General features: G+C 43.1%; 1 pseudogene, besides 1 other annotated feature; it reads left to right on the top strand.

The window, feature by feature from the left end:
- Positions 3,371 to 4,842: an enhancer, noted in NCBI's record as "VISTA enhancer hs151". NCBI's record gives its function as "enhancer in: dorsal root ganglion[8/12]" and the evidence as "EXISTENCE:transgenic organism evidence [ECO:0001131][PMID:17130149]".
- On the top strand, positions 8,544 to 8,840 carry RN7SL841P (RNA, 7SL, cytoplasmic 841, pseudogene; annotated as a pseudogene).

The following is a 9,154-nucleotide window of genomic DNA, read 5'->3' as shown; positions in this document are numbered from 1 at the left end:
GTTGGCTATGCCTTGCCCAAAACATGATTTCCAAGCCTCAGAAACTGTGCAAATCTTTGTTATTCTGTCTTTCCTTTCTCTTGCTTTATTATTTCTAGCAGTGAGCAAGAATACTTGTCATTAAGCAGACGTAAAGATGAAAAAAACCTGGTGACCATTTCCATCTTTTTTTTTTTTTAAAGACACTGGCTGCTTGCTGTATATATTTCATCTTTTCAGTTTGCTGTATGACTTTATAGAGAAGCTGAGACTTTAGTTACTGTGTGGGCATCTCTGTGGGCATTCTACAACCAATACCTCCCATCAGCTCTTCCACCCACTCCAGCAGGGACATCCCAGTTCTTACAGAGTCCCGTCTCCCTGACCTAAGTTTATCAGCACCAGACACTGAATGGAACCACAAGATATGCAATGCAGAAGCTGTAATTAAGACATGTTCCTTACCAAGAAGGCTTCTCATTTGCAGTGAGAGAAAATGAACCCCACCTGCCAATGAGAAGTCTGAGGTGAAGAGAATAGACCCCTGGATCTCTCAAGTTGTTCAACTGTTTCACCCTTCCTTCAATCATGTGCAATCAACAGGGCACACTACAGGTTAGAGATTGAGAGTTTGGGTTGTGGAATCACATAGATATATACGGTCACTAACTCTGGTGCTAGAACAACTCACTTCACTGCCCTTTGTGTCTTAGTTTCTTCTACTGTAGAATGGGGAGGATAATAGCACCTGTCTCATGGAGCTATTCCAGCTGAACACTTAGTAAGAACTCAATTTCAGGAAAGGTCCTCAGGCTTGGCTGCAGCTTGGGCCTCCTAGGTCTTGATCCTTGAAAATCAGTCTGCAACTCACCCAATCTCTCAATCACGAATGTGTTGGTATGAGGGAGCAGGGAAGTCACCAGAGGCTGCAGAAGAGTCAGGGAAGACAGGAGCCAGCAGGGTATTAACCACCGGCCCCACCCTCCATAAAATAGGCACACAGAGCTTCTTACACCTGGCGAATCTTTCCTCCATGCAGATGGCATCCTCCACAGCTGGGGAACTTTCAGGCCCTAGTGGGTTTGTGCTGTGTTATCTTCAGCTGAGTGTTGCATCTTAGTAAATTTCTGAGTCCTTTGCAATTACAAATATTACAATAACTTACCATTCTCTGAATCTGTAGGCATCAGTAACGTCACCATCTCATTGCAACAACCATACTATTATTCTCATTCTGCTAATTAGTTTGAGTCAGAGTTTTAGCTTGTAACCAAAGGAATCCTCAAAATCTAGATACATCTAGATGCCAATCCCAATTCCCAGAGATTGAGTCCCTTACTTGTTGCTCTGAGTCTTCTATTGAAATACCACTGTGGGGCTGATCTCTAGGCAGAATTTAATACATTGTCACAAACATCTGAGTGTCTCAGGAAAAGTAAGAGGGAAATGGCAATACAATCTGACAAGGACTCCAAAAGAAAGGGAAAGAAAGATCTGTGAGAATAGAGGGCAAAGGGAGATTGCTTCCAGCTCTGGGGATGAAGAAGGGGTTCACAGAGAAGGTAGCTTTTGCTTTGGGTCTTAAAAAGAAGGACATCAATGATACAGGTAAAAAGTCAAGACACTGTGGGATATGTTGTAGCCAGCAATTTTTCCTTCTATGAATATGTTTAATGGGAAATGTCACTGAAGGCTTAGATTGGGACTGGGAAGTACCAGTTGATAATAATAATAATGAATAGCATTCTTTGAATGATTCCTATTTGCTAGACTTATTTTATGTGCTTTACAGATATTCCTTCATTGGATGCTCACACACCCTTTGGCTAGATCCTGAATTATTCCTCCTTCACATAAGAATTCATGCATATAAGAGGTAGGGCTGGGATTCAGACTCCTACCAAGTAGTCTGACACTCATAACCACCAATGACCCCAAATTCACAGTGTCAGGCCCTGGGGAGATGCTGGTGAATAGGATAAGTGTAGTCTCCACCCAGTTGGAGCTCACAGTGGTGTATGTTGTTAAGAGTCCTGACTTAACTCTTTCTCATGTCGTTGTTTTTATAAATACTAGTCAGATATGATAGAATCCTTACCCTCCAGTGTTGTGTGGCTTTTAAATTTGTGTGAGGATGTTTATGGTTAAATCTCAAGCATGTATTGTCCCACCATCCCCCACTTCCCCAGTAGCCACTGATTTTTGTGATTCTGGGCAGGCTGATGATACTACTCACCCAAGGTGGAATGTGAGTGAGACCAGGCTGAGTCAATCAGCACATTCCATGTACCAGCCCCATTTATTGGCTCAGGAGTGGGTGTGTGACTTCAGCTGCCCTGATAATATTGGTTTTCAGGTCTTTGTCTGGAAATGCTCTCTGGGTCACACACAAAGAAGCAGGAAGTATCCTTGGTACTTATATTAGTCTGTTCTCATACTGCAAATACATACCAGAGACTGGGTAACTTATAAAGGAAAGAGGTTTAATGGACTCACAGTTCCACATTGCTGGGGAGGCCTCACAATCATAGCAGAAGTCAAAGGAGGAGCAAAGGCACATCTTACATGGCAGCAGGCAAGAGAGCGTGTGCAGGGGAACTGCCTTTTATAAAATCATCAGATCTCGTGAGACTTATTCCCTATCACAAGAACAGCAGGGGAAGTACACACGCTCCCATGATTCAATTACTCACACCAAGTCCCTCCCTTGACAAGGGGAATTATTGGAGCTACAATTCAAGATGAGATTTGGGGGGTCACACAGCCAAACCATATGAGTACTGAAAGCTGTCTTGGGACTGCAAGAGGAAAAACTTGCTAAGGTTGGAGTCATTACCAAGCAAATGGAGCAGAGAAATCAACAGCAAGTAACGAAATCCGGATGACATCACCGGGCTCCTGGATCATGTTTCACCTGAAGTCTGGCAGGTTTGTAAACTTTACAGTCACACAAGCCAGTCTGAGTCAGGAGTCCATTGAAATCCAAAGCTTGCAGCGTGGGAGGCTGTGGTAGCCACCGTTGGCATGAGAAAGGGTCCTCTGAGTCCCAGTCTGCTACTCAGTCTTGGTGCGACCTCAGGTCTTCAAGTTTCAGTTTCTTTATCTGTAAAACGAGAAGGTCAGATTGAAATCACAGCAGTGATGATGATGATCATGATGGCCACTTATCAGGCACTTAACTGCTTGCCATCTGCTCTGCTGAGGTTTTTATATATAACATCTTATTGAGTTGGTCCAACAGCTTCATGAAGTAGAAATTTGAAGAAGCTGACACTCAGAGAGACGAAATCACTTGCCTAAGGCCACACAACACAATTAGTAAATGACAGAACTGAGATTTGATTCAGGCATATAACACTATGGATCAGATTTTTTTTCAAAGAGATCAGCTTCTTCACTGCAAAACTGCTCATAATTTTTGAGTTCTATGAGGCTTGGGTCAATAGCTATGTTACTCACACTTTATTCTCCAGTACCAGCCACAGTACTCAGCACATAGACTTTGGATGAACGAACGAATGAATGAATGAATGAGTGGCTAGATGATCTCAAAGAGCCCATCCAGCTCTAGAGTCCTCTGAAACCCACCTTGTGCTCTTTACCTAATGAGGGTTCCCAGAAGCATTTCTTGGGTGAAGGGCAAGCCCTTTTCCCCTCCTCTGAACTAGTGCCTACTCCACTGACTGCCCCCCACTAATGAGGGAGCACAGCCCAAGGGGATGGTGTCTCCAGGCTAATTATTTTGTGGCTGTTCTGGCCTCACAATTCAAAATATTCAGGCTATTGTTGGTGTTTTACATCTTGCCACTGTTGCCCTTGTCAACTTCCAAGGGCATGAAGCCATGGCCCAATGGGGTAGCCCTTTCAAGGTCAGCTTGACAGCAAACACAAACTTAATTGAGCTGGAATAATAATTTTTTCTCTTTGCTTGATGTGCAGGTGACAATACTTAAAATATCGACATGGCTTAATACTTTTAAATTCAGTTGTTTGCTGATCAGCAGCAGCTACTTAAATTGACCAATCTATCTTGCCCAGCCGGAGATCAAGGGATCAGCACTTAATTTCATTCCCTGAATAAAGAATTTTTTTTATATCCACATGGAAATATCAGAACATGAAAGGTTAAATCAATATGGAGTTTTACATTGCTTAAAGGGCATTTGCATCAAAGCAGCCCTGAATGCAATTCACTTGTTTAATGAATTTTTTATGCTTATTTAATGAATTTCACAAAGGTTTGGTGTTTTTCATAAAATGGATAAGGACTTCCAGTTTTATGAAATAATAAAAATGGAACTGAAGTTATGAAATGAGCAATCTCATTAGTTAGGCATGATATATTCATATGAAAATGTACATGTCTCTGTATTATTGCCTGGGCACCATTATGCGAACAGTGACTTGTTATAATAGCATGGCAAATATTCCTCTAGTTAAGATATCAAGAAGTGACAGAAGGAAATTGCATTTTCTCCCCATTTCTAATAATGACATAATTAATGCTCATTTAAAATAATTACCTGGGCATTGTTTCCCAAGAGTGCGGATGCCTAACTCACTGGTAAATGTGTCCTGAAATACTTCTGAACTTCAATAACTCAAATGACGTCCTTTGCTTTTTACATTAGTTATTTGTTGAGGTAACAGTGATTTCTTGCCTTTCCATTCCAATGTCCTGGTGCACAAACAGAATACACAAAACTAATTCTATGAAATATAGAGGAAATATCTTGTGCTGAGAGAGAGAGAGAGAGAGAGAGAGAGAGACAGAGAGGTTGAGATTGTGGTATTAATTCTTCCTTCCTAGGCTTTGTTTCTGGCTTATATATTTTTTTGGATTTTGGGCTTCTTACTTGGTGTCCAGAGTTTGGTGAACTGGTCAGGTACTGATTCATCTATGATATTCAGAGGTTAGAGGGTACACTGGTTAATAATTCAGGCTTAAAAACACAGATGTATGTCTTGTGACTGTTTAACCACAGACTAGTTATTTATCCTCTCTGAACCTCAGCTGTGAAATAAGGATGATTCTTGGTAGTTCCTGAGACCTGGGGTGTGGGCAAGACTAAATAAGCATACACATGTAAAGCCCAGCACAGTGTCTGGCATCTGGTAAGCTCCCATCATGTCAGCTGTTGGCATAGGTGGTGTTGGTGAGACGCGGGGCCTGGAATTCACTGGACGCTCTGGTGCAGAGACTGAACAGAAGTCAGTGAATCAGCACCAGGCAGGGCCTCACTGGGGAAACTCGAAACTGTTTCATCTCACTTTCTTTTCCTATTCAAGAAGACAGGCAGCTGGAATGCTCCTCTGGCATTCAACACTGATATCAGTCTCAGCAACATTAATAATACAGTGCAACCGAATTAATTCTGCCTCCTCACCGAATTAATTCTGCCTCCTCTGATTTCAGAGGGGACAAATTCAGATGCACAATTCAGTGAGCATGTTTGGGGGGCTCACTGGGTGCTGGGCACCAGCAGGAGGGCTCTAAGCAAAGGGAAAGGCATAGCTCCTCTTCCAGGAGTTTGCAATGTTGGTAGGACCATAGGAAGCAGCCAGGATACAATTTTATTACCAATTAAACTCCTTGTATCTGTATAGTGCTTTGTAGTTTCCAAAACCATTTTGAGACTCGCATAAGTAGTCAGACCCTCTGATCTTTTAGGACTCTTTTGATGGTAGATTGAAATAATTTCTTTGGACTCAGAGAGGAACTTTGCATTGTGGTTACCAAACTGGTCCTTGCAATTAAAATTGGGTCCCAGCACCAGTTCTGAGCAGTTCCAGCTGTGTGGCCTCCGGCAAGTCACTTAACCTTTCTGAGCATCTATTTCTTTTTCTTCCAAATGGATGAGGACTCACTAAATTTGCAGGCGTGTAAGACACTTCCCTGCCTCTTTCCTTCAAAATTACTGTGTGCCCATATTCCAGGTGGAAATAAGAGTCAGAGAGGAAATAATGTAAGATGCTACCCCCCAGTGGAGGAGTTAGGCAATTCAAAACTCATAGCAAAGGTCAGCGTGCCATTGCCTTTTGGGAGTGATAGTGGTTGGTAAATTTTTACTTTGTGCTTCTTCGAAAGCAAACATTTAAAAACCACATATAATATGACTGATAAGAGTTTGAGTAATTTCTGCTATTTTCTATATTCACTGATATATATATTGTATACATACATATACACACAAATGACTTTTAAAGCAGTTATTTTACACTGTTTAAAGTGTTAGTCAATTCTTACTGAATATTCAGAAATTAAGACTTTCTACATGATTCCAATATGTAGTCTACTGTCTTTACAACAATAAAATGTTTTTTCTCATATAAAATCACTTTAACCTCACTTTTAATATCAAAAATATTCAAATTTTTCCTTTCTTCAAATTTCCCTCTATTATTAGAGTGAATCTTACTATATTATTAAGTTAATAATAAACCTAATACTATTTATTTAAACTGAAGTCTTTTGGGCTCCACGATTAGAGAGCCTTCTAAGCTAGAACCCTGTGTTTCATCTGTGTCTCATCTTCACATATTTGCCTGTTCCCTCTAATGCCCTAGTTTCTTTCTTTCTTTCTTTCTTTCTTTCTTTGAGACAAGGTCTTTCTTTATTGTTCAGGCTGGAGTGTAGCGGCACAATCATAGCTCACTGCAGCCTCAAACTCCTGGGCTCAAGCAATCCTACCACCTCAGCCTCCTAAGTAGCGGGGTCTCCAGGCACACACCACCACATCCAGCTATTATTTTTTTATTTTTAGTGGAGACGTATCTCACTATATTGCCTAGGCTGGTTTTGAACTCCTGGCCTCAAGTGATCCTCCCACCTTGGCCTCTCAAAGTGCTGGCTTGAGCCACCATGCCCAGCCAAGCTCCAGTTCTTGAGCCGAGTGCACGGCAGACACACCTGGGAGTGCCCAAGCCCACAGCCTTTGCCAGGACCTCCCATTCACAGGTGAGGGGTGGACCTGGCATCTGTAAAATGAAAACTCTCCCAGGGTTACTCTGATTTGTCTGCTGGAAAGAAACCAAGGTTCTGAAGCAATAGGTAAGAAAGCTTGAAAGAATATGGCATGGACGCCAAGTAAAAATGACAGGGGAGTAAAGATTAACCTTGACATAATGCAGCTAGGTTTAAATCTGCCTTCACTCACATCATTTGCTCATCGCAACAGCCCCTCAATGTGAGTAATAACCTCATTTTATTTAAACATGGGAAGATGTTTAGATTCACAGGTTAACTCCCCTGTCCCACCTCACACCTCCACCTCCCACACTGACCCTCCAGGTGCTCAGGATCAAACCTCAGAGTCATCTTTAACTACTGTGTCTCTCATCTCCCTCTGCTTGCCATCAAAATTGATCTGGAAAATGACTCCTTTTCCCCATGCCCATCTATGCAGGTCACAGTCACATCATGCCCTTGCTTGGATCCTGCAGCAGCCTCCGACCTGGCCTCCTACCTCCTCTCTCCCTCTTGGCCCCTCAGTCTGTTGTTCTGGCAGAAGCCAGAATTAGGCATTTAAGATGCAAATGAGATCATGTTACACCTCTGCTCAAAACCCATCTCATTCAGAGGAAAATCCTAACTCCTTATAGCAGCAGGCAGCCTGCCTCCCTCTCTGGTCTATCTCTTCCTATCCTCCCTCTGCCTCACCTCACTCCAGACACTCAGAATGCCTTTCCCAAACTCCCAAGTACTCTCCCACCTGTGCACTTGCCTTTCTTCCTGGAACTCTCCTCCCTCAGCTATATGTGTGTTTCATTCACATTCTGGAGGCCTACCTAGCTCCCTTTTCTCAGGAACAACCCCCCTCCCCAGCTACTCCCTTAATTTGCTTTATTTTTCAGAGTAGCCCTTAGGATCACTTGACATGGCACCTGTTTGTATGTTTCCTTGTTCATTATCTGTCTTCCTTCCCCACTCAAGCTGTGAGCTCAGTGTTACATATCCACTGCCTTGAACAGTAAGTGCCCATAGTAAGTGGTGGATGGACACTTGCTGAATGAATGTCTAGGCCCCAGGATAACCTTTATTCAATGTCTGAAACTGTTTCTCTGTTTGCCCCCATCATGTGCAGGGTGAAAGAGGAACTAGGTTTGATATGGTTTGGCTGTCTCCCCACCCAAATCTCATCTGGAATTGCAGCTCCCATTATTCCCACGTGTTGTGGGAGGGATCCGGGGGGAGATAATTGAATCATGGGGGCGGATTCCCCACATACTGTTCTCGTGGTAGTGAATAAGTCTCACGAGACCTGATGATTTTATAAGGGGTTTCCCTTTTCTCTTGGCTCTCACTCTCTCTTTTGTCTGCTGTCATGTAAGATGTACCTTTTGCCTTCTGCCATGATTGTGAAGCCTCCCCAGCTGCGTGGAACTGTGAGTCCGTTCAACTTCTTTTACTTTATAAATTACCCAGTCTCAGGTATGTCTTTATCAGCAGTATGAAAAGAGACTACTACACGCTTCAATCAGGCCTGGGGAGGGTAAGTATATTTTGTGATGATTCAGCTAACCACGTGCAGACCCCAGGCCTACCCTTAAGAATGCTTTAAAAAGTGGTGTGGTGGTGCGCACCTGTAGTCTCAGCTACTCAGGGTGCTGAGGCAGGAGGATTCTTGAGCCCTGGAGTCCTAGGCTGCGGTGTGTAATGTCCATCAGGTGTCTGCACTAAATTGAGCATCAATATGGTGACCTCTCAGGAGGGAGGGGGGGCTACCAGGTTGCCCAAGGAGGGATGAACCAGCTGGTTGGAAATGGAGCATCTCAAAACTCCAGTGATGATCAGTAATGAGACTGCACCTGAGAACAGCCACTATGGTCCAGCCTGGGCAACACAGAGAGACCCCATCTCTTAAAAAAATGCTTTAAAGACAAAAGCAAAAAAGCAACAGAAACCATCTTATCCTGGAGCTTATTTCTCACATTCGCTTTGTCCTCCTCCCAGTGGACAGTCATTTATAAAACTCAGTTCAATGAGGTTTCCAACTAATTGAGGTTTTACTGAATATCCTATCCGGTGCGTTGATTAAGGACCTCTCTGTGCTTATTGCCATGGGGAGTTGGGAGGTAGAAAAGTGAATGAGACAAGGGCTGTACCCTCCAGGTGCTGACAAATCCAGAGGGGAGAGAGACAGACACACAATCACTTATAACCCAGGCCAGAATG

This window comes from Homo sapiens, chromosome 16 (genome assembly GCF_000001405.40).
Source record: "Homo sapiens chromosome 16, GRCh38.p14 Primary Assembly".
Taxonomy (NCBI): Eukaryota; Metazoa; Chordata; class Mammalia; order Primates; family Hominidae; genus Homo; species Homo sapiens.
This window is presented reverse-complemented; position numbering and strand designations above follow the sequence as displayed.